This window comes from Homo sapiens, chromosome 5 (assembly GCF_000001405.40).
Source record: "Homo sapiens chromosome 5, GRCh38.p14 Primary Assembly".
In the NCBI taxonomy this organism is placed as follows: domain Eukaryota; kingdom Metazoa; phylum Chordata; class Mammalia; order Primates; family Hominidae; genus Homo; species Homo sapiens.
This window is the reverse complement of record NC_000005.10, coordinates 26,687,225-26,707,124: the sequence shown is the minus strand read 5'-3', so window position 1 is coordinate 26,707,124 and position 19,900 is coordinate 26,687,225.

Here is a 19,900-nt window from a genome sequence, read left to right as displayed (position 1 = left end):
GAAACACTATTTATTTTGCATATTTTTATTCTGCAACTTTGCTGAATTTGCGTATCAGTTCTAATAGTTTTTTAATGTGATGTTTATAATGTTCTCTATATAAGATCATGTTGTCAGAACATGGACAATTTTGCTTCTTCCTTTCCTATTTGAATGCCTTTTATTTATTTCTCTTGCCTAATTTTTGTGCCTGTGATATTTAGTACTGTATTGAATAGAAGTGTTCAGAGAGGTTATCCTTGCCTTATTTCTCATCTTAGAGATAAAGCTTTCACCTTTTTACCAAAGAGTATGATATTAGCTGTGGGCTTGTTATGCATAGCCTTTGTTTTGTTGAGGTACATTCGTTCTGTGCCTAATGTTTGAGAGGTTTTACCATGAAAGGATGTTAGATTTTGTCAAATAATTTTCCTGAATTGATAATGATGACCATATGCTTTTTGTTTTTCATTCTGTTAATTTGATGTATGATGTTTATAGATTTGTATATGTAAAAATATCCTTGCACCCCATGGATATATCCCACTTTGTAGTGGTGAATGAACGTTTAAATATGCTGTTGAATTCAGTTTGCTACCATTTTGTTGAGGATTTTTGCATCTATGGTCATTAGGAAAATTGGTATCATTTTATTTTTTTATTTACAGTGTCCTTGTATGGCTTTTGTGTCAGGATAAAAAAGAAAAACTTTAAAATGATTGAAGTAATTTTATGACAACATTTTAAAAGGCTTTGAAAATAATTTTGTACTTGATTTTGAAAAAAAATGCCTGAGTTGTTGGAAATATTTCATTAATTAATTATATTCAATGCAATATTTATGATATTATTTAACTCATATTTTGATTATTTGTATGTATTTCACCTTCATGCTGAAAAAGAAACTTTGGCATCCTTTGCATTCTTTACCTTTTTTCCAAAGTCTCTAAAGACTGGTATTATTTCCCCACTTATTTGTGTCCATTATATGAACAGAACTATTTACTAAATTTGTTTTTCTGATACTGAATTGTAAAGAACAAAGAAAATACAGTGTAACTATTTTTAATATCACCATCCTACTGTATCAAAGATTTCAGAATAGTATAACCTGTTGTTTTTACTGTGGTTAGCCAGTCTATTACAACATTGCCAAATGGAATTTGGTGCTATTTATCTAAATGATACATATTCAACCTTTATTTCCACAGAAATCAAAAGCATACATTGCATATTAAATTTCTGAAATAATGAGAATTATTTTGTAATCTTTCGACATTGAAATATTTATTCTATAAAAGTTTAATAATACGTTATAAGTGTGCATTCTCTCTCCCTCTCTCTCTCCCTCCCTCTAGTCATACATCTTAACAGCAGTGATACATTCTAAGAAATGGATTGTTAGGTGATTTTGTCATTGTGCGAACATCACAGAATGACGATGGTATAGACTAGCTGGTATAGTCCACTACACACCTAAGGTATATGGTACGGACTATTGCTTCTAAGCTACAAACCTGTATAGCATGTTACTTTAATAAATTGTGAAACAATTGTAAGCATGTGTGAATCCAAGCATATCTAAATATTGAAAAGGTACAGTCAAATATGGTATGAAAGATAAAAAATAGTACATTTATATAGGAAACTTACCACTAATGGAGCTTGCAGTACAGGCAGTTGCTCTGGGTGTCAGTAAGAGGTTGGTGAATGTGAAGTCCTAGGAAATTATTGTAACTATTGTAGACTTTATAAACACAGTACACTTAGGCTACAGTAAATTTTAGAAAAAATATATTTTTCTTAATAATAAATTAACCTTTACTTACTGTGAAATTTTACTTTATAAACTTTTCGATTTTATTTTAACTTCTTTTTTTTTTGAGACAGAGTCTCACTCTATCCCCCAGGCTGGAGTGCAGTGGTGCATCTGGGGTCACCGTGACCTCTGCCTCCTGGGGTCAAGTGATTCTCCTGCTTCAGCCTCCTCGGTAGCTGGGATTACAGGAGCCTGTCACTATGCCCAGCTAATTGTTTGTATGCTTAGTAGAGACAAGGTTTCGCCATGTTGGCCAGGCTGGTCTTGAACTCCTGACCTCAGGTAATATGCCCGCCTCGGCCTCTCAAAGTGCTGAGATTACAGGCGTGTGCCACCATGCTCAGCCTATTTTAACCTTTTAATTCTTGTAATAACACAGTTTAAAACACAAACACGTTTTACAACCGTACAAAAACATTTTTATATCCTTATTCTATAAGCTTTTTGTCTATTTTTAATTTTTTAAAGAGATTTTTACTTTGTAAACTTTTTGGTTAAAAGCTAAGACACAAACACACACATTAGCTTAAGCCTATATGGAATTAGAACTATCAATATCGCTGCCTTCCCCCTCTCCCTCTTGTCCCACTGGAAGGTCTTCAGGAGCAATAATACGTATGGCACCGTCATCACCAATGATAACAACGCTTGGCCGGGCCCAGTGGTTCACGCCTGTGATCCCAGCACTTTGGGAGGCCAAGGTGGGTGGATCACGAGGTCAGGAGATCAAGACCACCCTGGCTAACACAGTGAAATCCCGCCTCTACTAAAAATACAAAAAATTAGCCAGGCGTGGTGGCAGGCGCCTGTAGTCCCAGCTACTTGGGAGGCTGAGGGAGGAGAATGGCGTGAACCCGGGAGGCGGAGCTTGCAGTGAGCCGAGATAGCGCCACTGCACTCCAACCTGGGCGACAGAGACAGAGTGAGACTCCGTCTCAGAAACAAACAAACAAACAAAAAAACAATGCCTTCTTCTGGAATACCTCCTGAAGGACCTACCTGAGGCTGTTTTAGAGTTCAGTTTTTTTAATTTTGTAAGTAGAAGGAATACACTATAAAATCACTGCGAAAGTATGGTAATAACAAATACGTAACCCAGTAATATCTTTATTTATTATTATAATGAAGCGTCATGTACTATGCATAATTGTATTGTTAGACTTTTATACCACTGGTGGTACAGTAGGTTTGCTTGCAACAGCATCACCAGAAACACATCAGAAATGTGTTGTGCTATGACGTTATGACAGCTACGACATCACTAGGGGATATGGAATTTTTTTTAGCTCCATTATAATCTTGTAAGACCACTGTCCCATTTATGTGGTCTTCCATTGACCAAAACATTGTTATGCAGTGCATGACCAAATATCTATGTATGTGTAGTATCTGGTAGTTTCTTACAAAGCAGTAGCACCATTATTTTTTCTAATAGAATTAACAATCATCCTAAAATGTAATGTAATACACAGTTCATATTCAAAAGTCTCAAAAATATTTCCTAGCTATTTTGTTTTACAAACTGCAATCTAATCCAGCCTTTCTTGTTACAATTTTCGCTGTGTTTTTAGTGTCGATTTTTGTCACTTACAACATTGAACAATATACCCAGCTGTTGTTGTCGATGTTTCAAAACATTGATTTTTGAAAAAAACTAAGTCACTTTTCATGTAGAAAGTAATAGGCTCTGGATTTGTTTGATTGCGTTCTTATGTTATTTCATGTGTTCTTCTGCCCCTGAAAAATCCAAGTTAAGTCTAGAGACTTGGCTACATTCCAGATACATTGACTGGTAAGAACTCTTCATAAGTGAAGATGTCTACTTCATACCATGTTATGTCAGGAGGCACTAAATGTTCTTTCGTCTTATCCTTAGAGATGATTTTTTTTTTATCACTTGGTTAATGACTACTAGGTCTACCCATTATAAATGTCTGTTATTCATTTTTAATTGCTAATTAATACATCAGGTCATAATTTGAAAACATAAAATGACTTATTCCTTAATACTTTTTCTACTGTTAATTTTTAGCTTCATAGATGAGCCTCACCTTAATTTATGACTACACTGAGGGCTGTAAAATGATGATTTCTAAGTTTTCCTGCTGTATTTATTAGCAGCTACTACTCTGTAAATCATGTCACTATAGATTCACAAACTTCTTTATTTCCATGTGTTAATCACATCATTATTCCTTTGATGCTAAAAATATCCCAAATGTGTACTGTGAGAACCACTTTAAACTTGCCCCTGTGTGCTTTTGACATTACCATTACTTTTGTTTGTTTTGTTTATTTGTTTACATCCTGGAAGAATAAGAGATCCAGATTAATGTTGTACTTTTTCTGCTCAGACTTGGCATCAACCATTTCTCCAGAGGTATGTGATTCTTCTTAGTAGGTAATGACATTTAAATACAAATGAAGTATAAACACATGATATTTAAAGACAATGGTATCTAAACACAATGATCTGGATGCTGGCTTTATAATTATTGCTGAAGTGGCATTGCTTTTAGACCTAAAGGTATGATTTTATGAAAATGTGCAATTCAAATTATAGGACTTTGTCCTAAATGAAAATAATTACTTTTATTTTATATTTGTCTCTACATTCTATAAGAACAATGAAAAGAGTGAGTCCTATTTACAATAATATATTACATACACATTCTATAATATAAATGTTTATTTTCATATAAGGAAATACATATAAATTTGTATGTTTCTATATATAATAGTTTAAACATTGCAATATGAATGTCACTACTATAAATAAGCCTGTACTATAAATCAACTTATACTATAAATAACGTATAAGACACTTTTATATTTTAAAAATATTTTATAAAAAAGGAAAAAATATTATATGAAGAATATAAGTCAAAACACTATGTTCCAAATTACTTGAAACATTTCTTTCCTCTATGTATTAGTCAGGGTTCTCTAGAGGGACAGAACAAACAGGGTAGATGGATATACGATGGGGAGTTTATTAAGGAGTATTGACTCATGATCACAAGGTGATTTTCCGCAACAGGCCATCTGCAAGCTGAGCAGCAAGGAAGCCAGTCCCAGTCCCAAAACCTCAAAAGTAGGGAAGCCAACGGTGCAGCCTTCTGTCTGTGGTCGAAGGCCTGAGAGTCCCTGGCAAACCACTGGTGTAAGTCGGAGAGTCCAAATGTAAGTCCCAGAGTCCAAAACCTGAAGAACTCTGAGTCTGATGTTTGAGGGCAGGAAGCATCCAACGCGGGAAAGATGAAGGCCAGAAGACTCAGCAAGCTGGCTTCTCCCACTTCTTGTGCCTGCCTTATTCTAGCCCCGCTGGGAGTTGATTAGATGGCATCCACCCAAATAGAGGGTACGTCTGTCTTTCCCAGTCCACTGACTCAAATGTTAATCTCCTTTGGCAATCTCACAGACACACCCAGGATCAATACTTTGCATCCTTAAGTCCAATCAAGTTGACACTTAATATTAACCCTCACACTCTATGTGTGTAGTTAGACGGTTGCTCCATAACTCATAGCATGCACAAATGTTGGAGAATAAGATAAGGAAATCTTCCAATGATGTTTACTTACTCAGTAAGAATGGCAGCTCTAGGCTGGGTGCGGTGGCTAACACCTATAATGCCAGCACTCTCGAAGGCCAAGGCGGGGAGATGATCTGAGGTCAGGAGTTCGAGACCACCCTGGCCAACATGGCAAAACCCCATCTCTACTAAAAATACAAAAATTAGCTGGGCGTGGTGGCGGACGCTTGTAACACTAGCTACTTCGGAGGCTGAGGCAGGAGAATCTCTTGATCCAGGGAGGCGGAGGTTGCCGTGAGCCAAGATCACGCCATTGCACTCCAGCCTGGGTGACAAGAACGAAACTCCGTTAAAAAAAAAAGAATAGCAGCTTTAATCAATCACATTATAACTACACATCCTATTCAAAATAAAATTGTGCTATAGAATTAGAAATAAGGAAAATATGAAGTCTTTGCTAGTTACATAATCTGCAGAGGATCAAGCATTGAGTGATAAACATGTGATTAGATCTTATCTGTTTTAATTCCAATCTTCTTTCTCAAAGTTACAGTTGTGGGCAAATATGATGCTGGCAAATTCAGAACGACAAGATGTTGATCTTCCCTTTTAACTTTCCCATGGAATAAAAAATAGATAACAAATTATAAATGAATCCCAATTTTGCCATTTTAATACAGGATTTAAAGAAGCACTAAACAAGCCAAGACAGTAATAAGAAATTATATAATGAAATAATTCTTCATGACTATAAAGCAGGATTGAGCTGTACAGTTATTTTCTATCCCCAAGAGGCATTGGCATCATCAATCTCCAATCAGGCACTTGGGGGCAGTAGTGTTCCTCTTATTCTGTGTTGTCCTGTGGTTTCTTTGAGTATTGCTGTCTTTTCAAGGTTTTTCTACATTGATAGCTCGATATTGTATATTACAATAAAGGATTTTTTAATGTCTTTTTCTGCTATAGATGATTTTTACATAATTATGGTGTAATGAAATAAGTCAACACATCATTTCAATAGTTTTACCAAAATAATTTTACTACAGTACAAATACAGGAATTTTTTTTTTCAAAGTAATCTAAAAGCAAACAGTAAAAATGTTCCATGCGTATCGGAGAAAAAAGAGAAAACTCCAAAAAATGTATAATAAAACATAAGGCATCAGATCATGAACTAAATAAATTTAATTAGATAGCCATAAAAACACGAGATTGTTCGAACATACAATTTTAATTACATAACAAGGATGATAGTGCTAGTTAATACTTAGCAACGAGTCATTGAAATTCAGAAACTGTATTAATTTTAGTTCTGTTTGGCAAATACAGATTATGCACCTTCTCAATTTTAAATAATTTTAAGGTAATTTATAAAGTAATATATAAATTATTTTAAAAGTATGGTATTTTATTTAATATTCTTGCAAATTATTAAGTAGAAAAGTAAAATTATTAAGAATGATTTAATGTAAATTCTATCCAACATAACTTGTGTTTGGTATTTGTTCTTCTTGTTCCATTTCTATTTTGTTTTTTTAATTTTACTTCTCCTATTCACTTCTTGATAAATAAAAATAAGTTAACATTTGAGAGGAAAATAAATAAATCTGTAATAAAACAATACAGTGGATCTCATTATATATATATGTATATATATATATATATATATATATATGTATATATATATATATATATATATATATGTATATATATATATATATATATATATATATATATATATATATATATATATGTATATCACCTGTAACACACCCCAACAGATAGAAACAATAATGCGTTTTGGCTACCTGAAATGTACTGTCATTATATTTAACATTGTATTCTTCTACTTAATATATTGGCTTCTGGCTTACAAATTGAGAAAGCAGAATTTTTCTGCTATTTTTTGTAATGTTGTTAGTAGTACTAGTAACCTTAGCATAAAAATACACATGTTATTATCATTAAAAATCAAAATGTTGAGTGGTTAAAGAAGTATAAATGACAAACCATTCTATAAAATCCCAAGCCTCATGTTGAGCTGGTATATGTTTAAAAACTCCAGCTTCACACTATTTTCAGATACTTCCCAGATACAATTTATTCACTTACTTTCTTTAGCTTTAAAAGACTGAAAATCTTTTATAAAAGCACAGAGGAAATACATAATAGTAGTGGTTTCAATTGCTGCAAATGGATTGCATACAAGCAGATCAAACAATAGTTTAACAGCTATCCAGGTATCCAGAAGAGCAGCTCTACTCTACCTTTGTAAATGGAGAAAGGGCCCTTGTTGTGAAGTCAAAGAAAGCCTGGAAAACATCTCAGTAAAGATAAAATTGGTCATCCTATATATCTCACTGTCTGATTTTCCAAACACAGTTCAATTTTCCACATACTTTGCTTACTGAAATAGAAGAAATATTAGCCTTTGTTTGATGATGGGCTTCTACAAAAATAATCTGTGCAACTGAAACCAACAAAATGAGGGCATTAACTATGAATCTCTAATTACCTTTCTAATCAGAGTACTGGTTCCTGAAATCGCTTGTCCTGGTAACACTGGAGAAATCAACATTGGACTCACACATGGACATCCATGGCAAATGAAAGACAGGAAATCAATGTTGTGTACAGTACAATATTGTTAAGCACAGTTACCTGAATGTACAATAGAATACCAGAACTTGTTCATCAGATCTAACTGTAACTCTGTACCTGTTGACCAATCTCTTTATCCCCCAATCCTCCCTACTCTCCTCACTCTCTAGTAACCACTATTACTTCTATGAGATCAGCTTTTTTACATCTCACCTATAAGTGAAATTATGTGGTGTTTGTCTTTCTGTGCCTCGCTTATTTCACTTAACATAATGTCCTCCAGTCTCATCGACGTTACTGCAGATGACATAATTTCATGCGTTTTTATCTCTGAATAGTATTCTGTTGTGTATATACCACATTTTCTTTATCTAATTAACAGGTTAATTCCGTAACTTGGCTATCATAACCAGTGCGGCAATAAACATGGGAGTGAAAATTTCTCTTTGACATATTAATTGCATTTCTTTTGGATATCTACCCAATAGTAGGATTGTTCCTGGATTATTTGGTAGTTCTGTTTGTAATTTTTCAGGAATATCCCTACTTTTTACTATAATGGCTATATTAATTTACATTCCCATCAAAAATGTGTAAGAGTTCTTCTTTCTCCATATCTACACCAACATTTGTTATTTTTTGTCTTTTGGTAATAGACATTCTAATTGGGGTGTGACTGTGGTTTTGATTTCTATTTCCTTGATGATTAGCGACACTGAGCATTTTTTCGTATACCTGTTGGTCATTTTTAGACATTTTTTGAGACATATTTTTGAGACAAATTTGTTTATATCTCTTGCTTATTTTTTAATTGTTTTTGTTTTGCTCTTGAGGTGTTTGAGTTTTATTTTGAAAATAAAACCTCTGTCAGAAGTATAGTTTGTAAATATTTTCTCCCATTCGTAAATTTTCTCTTCATCCTGTTTTTTCTTTTGTTGTGCAGAAATTTGTTAGTTTGATGCAGTTTCATTTTCCTATTTTTGCTTTTGTTGTTTGTGCTTTTGACATCTCTAAATTCTTTTCCAGCACCAATATTATGGAGTGTTTTCTTTTTCTAATGTTTTATTGCTTTGGGTCTTACATTTAAGTATTTAATCGATTTTTAGTTGAATTTCGTATATGGCAAGAGATAGAGGTCAAGCTTTATTCCTTTGCATACAGATATCCAGTTTTCTCAGCACTATTTAGTGAAGAGACTATACTTTCCCTAACGTACGTTCTTGATATCTTTGTCAAAAGTCAATTGGGTATTATTGAGTGGATTTATTTCTGTGTTCTCTATTCTGTGTCATAGGTCTATGTGCCTATTTTTATGCCATTATCATGCTCTTTTGTTCACCATAGCTTTGTAGTATATTTTGAAGTCAGGCAGTGTGATGCTTTCAGGTTTTTTGTTTGTTTGCTTGGCTCTCAAAATTGCTTTGGTCGTTCAGGGAATAGTATTCTGATTCTATAGAATTTTAAAATAGTGTTTTCATTTCTGTAAAAAATTACCATTAATATTTAAATAGTAATTTTCATTGCATCTATAGATTGCTTTGGGTAGTATGGACATTTTAATAATGTTAATTCTTCCAATTAATGAACTCGAGATATATTCCCATTAATTTGTGTCTTCTTCAAATTTTTCATCCACAATATATAGTTTTTGTTGTAGAGATCTTTTATCTCCTTGGTTAAATTTAAACATAGGTAACTCATTTTATTTTGTAGCTATTGTAAACAGAATTGTTTTCTTGACTATTTTTTTTTCAGATAGTTAGCTATTAGCATGTAAAAATGCTACTAAATTTTGTATGTTGCTATTGTAACCTGCAACTTTATTGAATTGGTTTATTGGTTGTAACACTTTTTTTGGTAGAGTCCCTAGGGTTTTCTCTGTATAAAATCATGTTGTCTGCAAAGAGGTAAAATTTGACTTCCTCCTTTTTTAACTTAGATGCATTTTATCTTTTTATCTTGCCTTATTTCTCTGGCTTGGACTTCCAGTGCTGTGTTGAATAAAACTGCTGAAACTAGGCTTTGTTTCAGGTCTTACAGGAAAAGATTGCTGCTGTTCCCTGTTCAGTATGCTGTTAGCTGTGGATTTGTCATATGTGACTTTTAATATCTTGAGGTATGTTTCTTCTGTACCTAGTTTGTTGAGGGTTTTTATGAAGAAAGACTGTTAAATTTTATCAAATATTTTATGTCTATTAAAATGATCATTTTTATTTTATTCTTCATTTTGTTAATATGATGTATCACATTTATTGATTTGTGTATGTTGAACCATTTTTGCCCTCCTGGGATATATCCTACCTTATCACAGTGAATGAACTTTTTAATGTGCTATTAAATTTGATTTGCTAGTATTTTGTTAAAGATTTTTTCATCTATGTTTATCAAAGAGATTGGCCTGTAGGCTTTTTGTTTTGTTTTGTTTTGTTCCTTCTCCGGTTTTATTATCAGTATAACACTGATCTCCGGGAATAAATTTGGAAAAGTTTCCTCCTCTTCAATTTTTTGGAAAAGTTTAGAAAGAATTAGTATTGGCTCCTCTTAAATATTTGGTAGAATTCGGTAGTGAAGCCTTTAGGTCCTGAGCTTTTCTTTGAGGGGAGACATTTTGTTACTAATTTAATCTCATTACTCATTAATGGTATGCTTAGATTTTATTTCTTCTTGATTCAACTTTGGTAGGTTGTATGTGTCCATGAATTCATTTATTTCTTCTAGGTTTTCCAATTTGGTAAAATATAGTTGTTCATAATAGTCTTTTATGATTTTCTGTATTTCTGTGGTATCAGTTGTAATATAATCTTTTTTATCTTTAATTTCATTTATGTGGGACTTCTCATTGTTTAAAATTAGTCCAGATACAGTTTGTTAATTTTATTTACCATTTTTAAAAGAAACAACCCTTATTACTCTTTGGTATTTTTTTACTCTCTATTTAATTTATTTTTGTTCTGATTTCTATTTTTTTCCCCTTCGCTAACTTTGGGTTTAGTTTGTTCCTGTTTTTCTAGTTACTTGAGGTGCAATGTTAGGTTTCTTTATTTGATACCTCTCCTTTTTCAATGTAGGTATTTATTGCTATAAACTTTCCTAAAAGAATAGCTTTTGCTGTATCTCATAGGTTTTAGTATCCTGTGTTTTTATCTTTGTCTTGTTTTTTTTAATTTTCCTTTCAATTTCTTCACTTACACATTAGTTGTTCAGCAGTCTGTATTTTAATTTTCATATATTTGTAACGTTTCTGAGGTTTATCTTGTTAATTTCTAGTATTAAACAATTGTGATCAGAAAAGAAAGTATATCTTATTTTGATCTTAAATTCATTAAGAATTGTTTTGTAGCTTAACATATGATCTCTCCTAGAGGATGTTCTCTGTGCAGTTGAGAAAATTGTGTATTTTGTAGCTGTTGAATAGTATGTTCTGTCAATGCCTATTAGGTCCTTTTGGTCTGGAGTGTAATTTAAATCTATCTCGTATGTTGTTGATTTCCTGTCTGGATGATGTGTCCATTGATGAAAGTGAGTTGTAGAAGTTTGCTACTCTTACTGTATTGCACTCTATCTCTCTTTTTAGATATATGAATATTTGACTTTTATATTTACGTGCTCTGATATTGGGGCATATATAATTATAATTGTTATATTACCTTGCTAAATTGATCCCCTTATCATTATTTAATGACCTTCTCTGTGACTTTTTACAATTTTTATATTAAAGTCTATTTTGTCTCATGTTAGTATAGCCATTCCTTCTCTTTTTGGTTACATTGCATGGAATATCTTTCTCCATCAACTTCATGTCAGTCTGTGTCCTTACAGGTAAAGTGAGTCTCTTATAGGCAGAATATAGTTGGGCTATGTTTTTAAATTTCATTCAGCCACACTATATATTTTATTGGATAATATAATCTATTTACACTCAAGGTAATTATTGCTAGGTAAAGTCTTACTATTGCCATTTTGTTAATTGTTTTCTAAGTCATTTATTCTTCTCTTACTACCTTCTTTTGTGGTCAAATGACTTTCTCTAGGAGTATGCTTCATTCCTTGCTTTTTCATTTTGATTGTATCTATTATAGGTTTTTGCTTCATGTTTATAATGAGGCTTACATAATCATCTTATGGTTTTATTAAGGTTATATTAAGCAGATAACAACTTAATTTTGATCACACACACAAAATGAAAGAAAAACAAAAGGAAATAAATACTACTCATTACTTTGAGGCCTGAACTCTGACCTTCTGTTTTGTTTTTTCCCAAGTTCCTATCTAAGAGAACAGGGGAGTCATGTCCTACAAACCATACAATCTCTTAAAATATATTTTTTTATTAATCCAGTATAATGTGGCTTACTTTTTCTTTTTTTTTCCACAGAGTCTCACTCTGTTACCCAGGCTGGAGTGCAGTGGCTTGATCTCAGCTCACTGCAACCTCTGTCTCCCGGGTTCAAGTGCTTCTTCTGCCTCAGCCTCCCGAGTAGCTGGGACTACAGGCGTGCACCACCACGCCTGGCTAATTTTTGTATTTTTAGTGGAGATAGGGTTTCACCATATTGGCCAGGCTGGTCTTGACCTCCTGACCTTGTGATCTGCCTGCCTTGGCCTCCCAAAGTGCTGGGATTTCAGGTGTGAGCCACCATACCTGGCCTTGGCTTACTTTTTAACCTGACGCAGGTATAACAACATCACATGGCAGATAGCAGATCCCTTGATCTTAACTCAAGCATTTCTTTTACTGACCTCGAGTCTTTAAACAATAGCTTAACTCTCTCAACTGATTGTCAACTAAAGAATTTTTAAAACCCACCTATGACTTGCAAGCCCTCACTTCAAGGTATCTCACCTTTACAGGCAAAACCAATGTACACTTTCCATATTTTCATTTATGATTTTACCTGTAATGCCTGTCTCCCTAAAAGGTATAAAACCAAACTCTAACTAGACCACTTTGGGTGCACTTTCTCAGTACCTCTTGAGGCTCTGTAATACAATACCAGGCTTCAGTCACTCAATAAATATCTTAAAATATTTTGGGAGAATTTGGTTTACCAACATCACTTCCTCCCCCTTGCAAATTTGAATACATGATATAATAACTTACGTTTGTTTATAGTGCATATTCCTTAATAAATTATTGTAGTTTTATCTTTTAACCTTCATACTAAAGATATTAGTGATTTATACCCTTATCATTATATTATTAGAGTATTCAGAATTCCACTGTGTACTTCCTTTTACTAGTGAGTTGTACACAGGCATACCTCATTTTATTGCACTTTGCTTTATTTTGCTTCACAGATATTGCATTTTTTTTGCAAATTGAAGATTTGTGGCAACACTGTTGTAAGAAAGCCTATGAACCTATTTTCTCAACAGCATGTGCTCACTTTGTGTCTTTTTGGTAAATTTGCAATATTTCAAACTTTTTCATTAGTGTTATATCTGTTCTGTTAATATATGATCAGTGATCTTGGATGTCACTTTTATAATTGCTTTGGATCACTATGAATTTCACCTATTTGGAATAGTCAACTATTTCTGACTCCTCCACAGAGCAGTTGTTCCCCATCTTTCTTCCAGTCATCAGGCCTCGTTATTTCCTGAGACATGACAACATTGAAATTAAGCCAATTAATAACCCTACAATGGCTTCTAAGTACTCAAGTGAAAAGAAGAGTTGCATGTCTTTTGCTTTAAAGCAAAAGCTAGAAATGAGTAAGCTTAGCAATGAAGATGTGTCAGAAGCCAAGATAGGCTGAGATAGGGCTTCTTCCACCAAAGTTGTTAGCCACGTTGTGAATGCACAGGAAAAATTCTTCTAAGCTTGGTGCAGTGGCATTATCATAGCCAATATTATTATCAAATACTCACAAGAAAATTTAAGTACATATATACTTTTTTATGTCACATTCTGTCATAATGACTTCTAAATTACTATCATTTAATTTCAGAGCCCTGTACACTCTCAATTTCAATAGGGAAAATTATTTTCTATGCTCACATAGAATTTGGTGGTTGACGTCATGTAATTGGGAAGAATGAAGTGATGAGAATGACCACCGTCCTGCCATAAACAGATAGAGATTATGATTGCATCATGTTCTGATAAACATTTAAGCCTTGGATAACTAAAGGAAGACTATAGGTGTCAAATATAAGTTGAGAAAATTAAGTGAGGTGTCCGATGTTGACATCATGACAAAGAAGAGAAGGGAAAACCTGGATATACGCACGAAGGGCTCACTAAGGGCTTAGAGCTAAAATTCTAATGCCCATGCAGGGGCAGGACACTAATAAAGTAGCTAAAACTTCAAAGTGTTAAATACAAAATAAGAAAAGGGACAAACCATACTAAGACAGAGGAAAAATATAGACTGAATAAAGGTATAATACACCATATGATAATCAAAAATATATATTTTAAAATTCGATTTACTGTATCTGACTCGGCAAACTTAAACTTGAAAGCTCTGTGATGCCTTCAGTTACTTTAAAAATTTTCCCAATGATTTCGGTGATTTCCAGTTTTCTTGTCATTTTGAGGATAAGAATTAATGAATACTGTTTTATTTCCAAATATATAATCTGGCAAGGTATTTTGTTAGGTGCCATTGATCTGGGTATGTCTCATAAATGATTAAATAATTTAAATGATCATTTCCAAGGATACATTCAATCTAAAGGGGGAGCTCTTATGTATTGGTTGTATAAGCATTTTGCATGTAGCTTACACATATAAATGTGATGGCTGATGGAGTTGTACATGCAACTTACACATCACCTTCTTATTTCCAGTGATATTTCAAGGAGTACACCATTAAATGTTCTTTTGAACTGCTCCCAATTACATCATCACTTCAATAAATGTCGGTAAGGACACATTTTGACTCATTTCAAGGGTCAAGACTTAATCCAAGGTAAAGCTGAGTACCACATATCTGAAATTACATCTTGTAACTTCAGCTTACAATATAAATATGATTTTTAATCCATAACTGGGTCCATGCCACTAATTAAAAACATTATATACAGAAATTATACAACTCCAATGTTATTAACAATTAGCACACATTTTATGTATGTTTAACTTTTTAGTACTCATTGAAGGTGGAATTATGTTGTACAATGTCAGCTTTATGTATTAATATGATTATGTTCAATTGTAAGAGGAAGGCACACAATTAAAATTAGCTCTACATAAAGGATTAATTGCTACTCCTATTGGAACAGATAGCGTGATTAATTTTATAATGACTGATTTTATAAATTTATGATGGAGCTCTGTTTCTCTACTTTTTGACTTTGCTATCCAGTACCTTGTTACTTTATTCTACAGAAATTTTATCTATGACTGCCAGCATTTCCAGATGTACATGATTCCACTTATACAATTTGCAGTATCTTAGAAATGAGATTTTCTCTCTGTCATCTTCAGAGTGTAGAGGAAGAGGTCTGATCATTCATGTTACTTTGCTCATACCCACATAGACCACAAAGACAAAGGCTTGAACCACAGTTTGAGTCTTGGCAGAATGCCTTGTAATCCTGCCACAAAAGGAGAAGGTGAAGATCTGTAAAGGTTCCTTCAAGGCCTGTTACATGCACCTCTGTGTCTACCTGTTGAGGCTGTCAGGAGAGAGTCTTCATTGCCTCTCAGCTTCTAATAAAGTGTGGGGCTGTCTGTCCCATACTCCTTGAAATAGAGCTGTGGAATACAAGACCACTTAGCTGCAGTGTAGAGTGGACTCCTCATCAATGGAATATCTTTCCTACAACTCACATGACAGTTTTGGCCCCTTTTGTTTGTGTCATCCCTTTTAGTGTATGGGACAAGGATAATGAGGAGGTGGCACCTTAGGCTTATTCTTCTTTTCATTGTCTAGGTAAGCAATAAACTGCCTAATGTAAAAATGGCTGTCTCATTAAACCATTACCAGTCAAATCAGTCAGGCCTTGGCCTTGCTTTGTTGTATGCGTTATTGACACAAAAATAAAATGCCCATGCACGTTGTCATGGAAAGAGAGAGAGAGAAGAGAGAAAATTTTTTTTCATAATATGGAGAAGAAATTCAAAAACTATGGAAGACAGAAATATTAAATTGCATCTAATATATAACTCAACAAAAGAGACTTTTTAAGACTTTTAGAAAAATCTTACACATTTTGTATGTATTCGTTTTCTATGGCCACTGTAACAAATTGCTAGAAATTTAATAGTTTAAAACAACACAGATTTATTATCTTCCAATTTTGGGTTGCTCTAGGGAAGAATCCATCTCCTTGCCTTTTCCAGCAACTAGAGGCTGCTCACATTTATTGGCTCATAGTTCTCTTCTCCCATTTTCAATACCAACAGGATTGCATCTCTCTGACCATTCTTCTGTCATCAAATCTGTCTCTCACTACAGCTGAAAGATGTTCTCTGCTTTTAAGACTCATGTAATTAGATTGGGCTCACACAGATAACAATAATCCAGGATAATCTCCTTATCTCAAGGTCCTTAGTGTAATGACATCTTCAAAGTCCCTTTTGCCATGTAAGGTAATATAGTCACAGTTTCTAAAGATTAGGATGTGGCCATCTTGCAGGGTTGGGAGGGAGGTTATTCTGCCTATCACACTTTACTCTTGCCGTGAGAAATTGCTGAGAGAAGTGCTCAGCTGTTTTTTGTTTGTTTGTTTGTTTTTAATTGTGGTTGTGCTTACTAAATTTGCAATGCTAGCGGGAGAGGATAAAATTAAAATTGAGTCTACAGTTCTAAAATGCATGGAAGAAAACTAGAGTTAACACAAACAATTGCTAGCAGAAAAAAAAAATGAGAATCAAAGTATCACGGTCATTGTGAAAAGCAGAAGAACAGATGGACCATTCAGCACTCAAAGTGGTCTGATGTGCAGAACCCTGACTGAAAATGTATGGCTTTCATGAATGAAATCAACAGGCAGCTAAGCAACCAAACAACAGGGAACTAAGTAATGGGTAAAGGTAAGATTTCATAATTGAAAACATCTGTGTCACCACATGAACCTCAGTGCTCTAAGAATCATGGCCCTATCAGGTCTCCAAACCTATGCAACAAATCTGAGCATTGTTACAAAACGCGTGGGTGAGCCTTCCAAGGAATTTTGCTATTGCATCTGATATACTTACAGGAAACAATGACCTGACCCTTCCCCAAACGCCATTGCCACTCACTGTCTAACCAAGTAATTAACTCCAAATTAATCCAATTTTCAGCATATAACTTTAGTCCTCTCGAATGAATGCAGCCACACCAGGTGATGAATGGAGTCATCTCTGAAGACCTCTTTGTTGTAATCCAGAGTTGCCCTAAATGAACCTGTGTATATTTACTCATTCCCTGAGGACGGCAGAATGTCAATTTTGTTTTAATGTTATGATATGCATAGAAAAACGAGAATTCTTAAAGCTCTAGGTAACAAGCCAGGGGTTGTGGCTTCCAAAGTCTCTTTGCTGGTGCTCCATGGGCTAAGAGGATCAATATACTGCAGGACATTATATCCCAGCCTTAGCAAACCACTGTGTTATGGCAATCTAACTGGAAGATTCTGCTTCAGGAAGTAGCTGGAATTGATACACTCAGCAGCCCACAGAACACCACATTGGCAACTTTAAATCATGTTGTAAGAAACCTCATAGCAGAAATGTCTAAACACCTGTTCTCATACATCATACCTGTAACACACATCCACACCTTTTTAGATGAAATGTCACTAGCAGAGTTGATTCTCACTTCGTATTGGTCATACAGTGTTTTTTGTTGCCAGCATCTATTCTGATCTTTCAGCATCAATTTGACTGTTTAGTGTCCTTGCTTAACCCAATGTTGAATATTTTAAATATCACTCTAGCCGCAATAAAAGATGTCTAATATGCAGATGTTTTGATTCCTTACACATTTCTTTTAATTCTTTATTTTGTTTACATAAATATGTAAAATGAAAATTAAAAAATGACAAGGCTTGACAATGACGCCACAAGTGTTAACCTTAATGACTTCCTGTCCTCCACTGGAGATGCAGTTTTGAACACATTCCCTTTTCTAGAGCATAGGAAGAGCACTTAGAATTTGGAATAATACTATTAATCTGGTAAAGTTACGTTTCTTGGTATTAGAGGTCTGCAAACTAAAACAGGGGTAGTGAGGGCAAGCTGGCCTGCTATCTGTTTTTGTATATGGCTTTATTAGAACTCAGCAATAATCATATATTTACATATTATCTATGGTGGCTTTTGCATTGTAATGGCAGATGAGTATTTTCAACAAAGTCTTCATGGCTCACAACGGTTCAAATGCTCTCTGTTCCTTTACAGAAAGAGTATGTTAATACAGTAACAAGGAGAGAAGCATGGGAAATGAAGAGTTCTTTAGAGATAGGCAAGCATGAGTTAAGAAAGCATGAGATAGGCAAGCTGGCTTGCTTCCTATGTTGATGTGGCCTGGAGAAAAAAAGAACAAAAGCCCGGATACTCAGGCTGTAACTACAGCCAATCAACATCAAAGGCCCAAGAAGCTATTAAACGTAAGTTTCTGCTTTAGGGGACTAGGGACTTGAAGCTAGGCTTAACTTTCAACTCATAGTGACCTTTTCCTTATTTTAATGCTAAAAATCACTCCCAGGGGTGGAGATGTAAGATCCTAATGATACATGTTTTGTATCAAGAAGCGTGTTAAACCACCACACATGCACTAGAAAAATCCCACCTCTACATGCCTCTTGTAAGAAGTAAGTTCCCCTTACTTTTTTTTTGTTTTTTTTTTGTTTTGTTTTGTTTTTTGAGACAGAGTCTCGCTCTGTCGCCCAGGCTGGAGTACAGCAACACGATCTTCGCTCACTGCAACCTCCTCCTCCAGGTTCAAGCGATTCTCCTGCCTCAGCCTCCTGAGTAGCTGGGATTGCAGGTGCCTGCCACCACGCCTGGCTAATTTTTGTATTTTTAGTGGAGACAGAGTTTTGCCATGTTGGCCAGGCTGGTCTTGAACTCCTGACCTCAGATGATCCACCCACCTCAGCCTCTCAAAATACCCTTACTTTTCCTTACTGTAGAGCCCCATGAAACAGGTGTCCCTAACCACGGGGCCACAGACCAGTACCAGGCACCAGTCCGTGGCTTGTTAGGAACCAGGACACACAGTTGATTAATCAAACTTTTGAGAGACTGAGAGGCTATATGTTTTCAGCAATCTGTTATTTTGATTATTTTACTAATCAGCCTAACTACAAATATTAGATTACTCTGGCTTGGCGAATATTAGAGCAGATATTATGGAGAAATAGGAGTAAATTAACAATTACATAGAAGTTGTGGAGGGCTTAGAAGGAAATTAAAAACTTCCAATATCAATGAATTTCAAACAAATTTTTTTTCCATAAAGTAACACTGGAAAATTGTTGTTAAAACCATATAATTAATACAGATACTGTGTACTCACGCTAAGTATTACTGACACGTAACATCCCAACACTTTTCTATTAACCTACTCTGTTTGAGAATGTTTGCAACCTCAAATTTAGGTCTGCTGGATAGTCATGCACTGGAGTGAATTGAAACCGACTGTGAATGAATATTAGGCCAGAGGTATTTTGAAGAAAAATAACGGAATATTATTCCAGCTCAGTTATCAACAAAAAAATCCGTTGATTTTGACTTATGCTTCCATAACTATAACATTTTATGTTACAGCATATATTCGATTTCACAAATTCAGTATCAATGGCTTTTACTACTGGCAATTGGTCATGGATATCATGATATGAAATATTTCAGTTGTGCAAAATCAAACCAGTTTTCTGTTGAAGAAAGATAACTAAACCTTGAGCATTGCCTTTTCATCTTAATACGGCATTGATGTCCTTGACTCGTCAACTATATTCATTTATTACAAAACTGTAGGATATTACATGAGAGTCATTAAATTCACTAAGAAACAACAAAGTTTTGT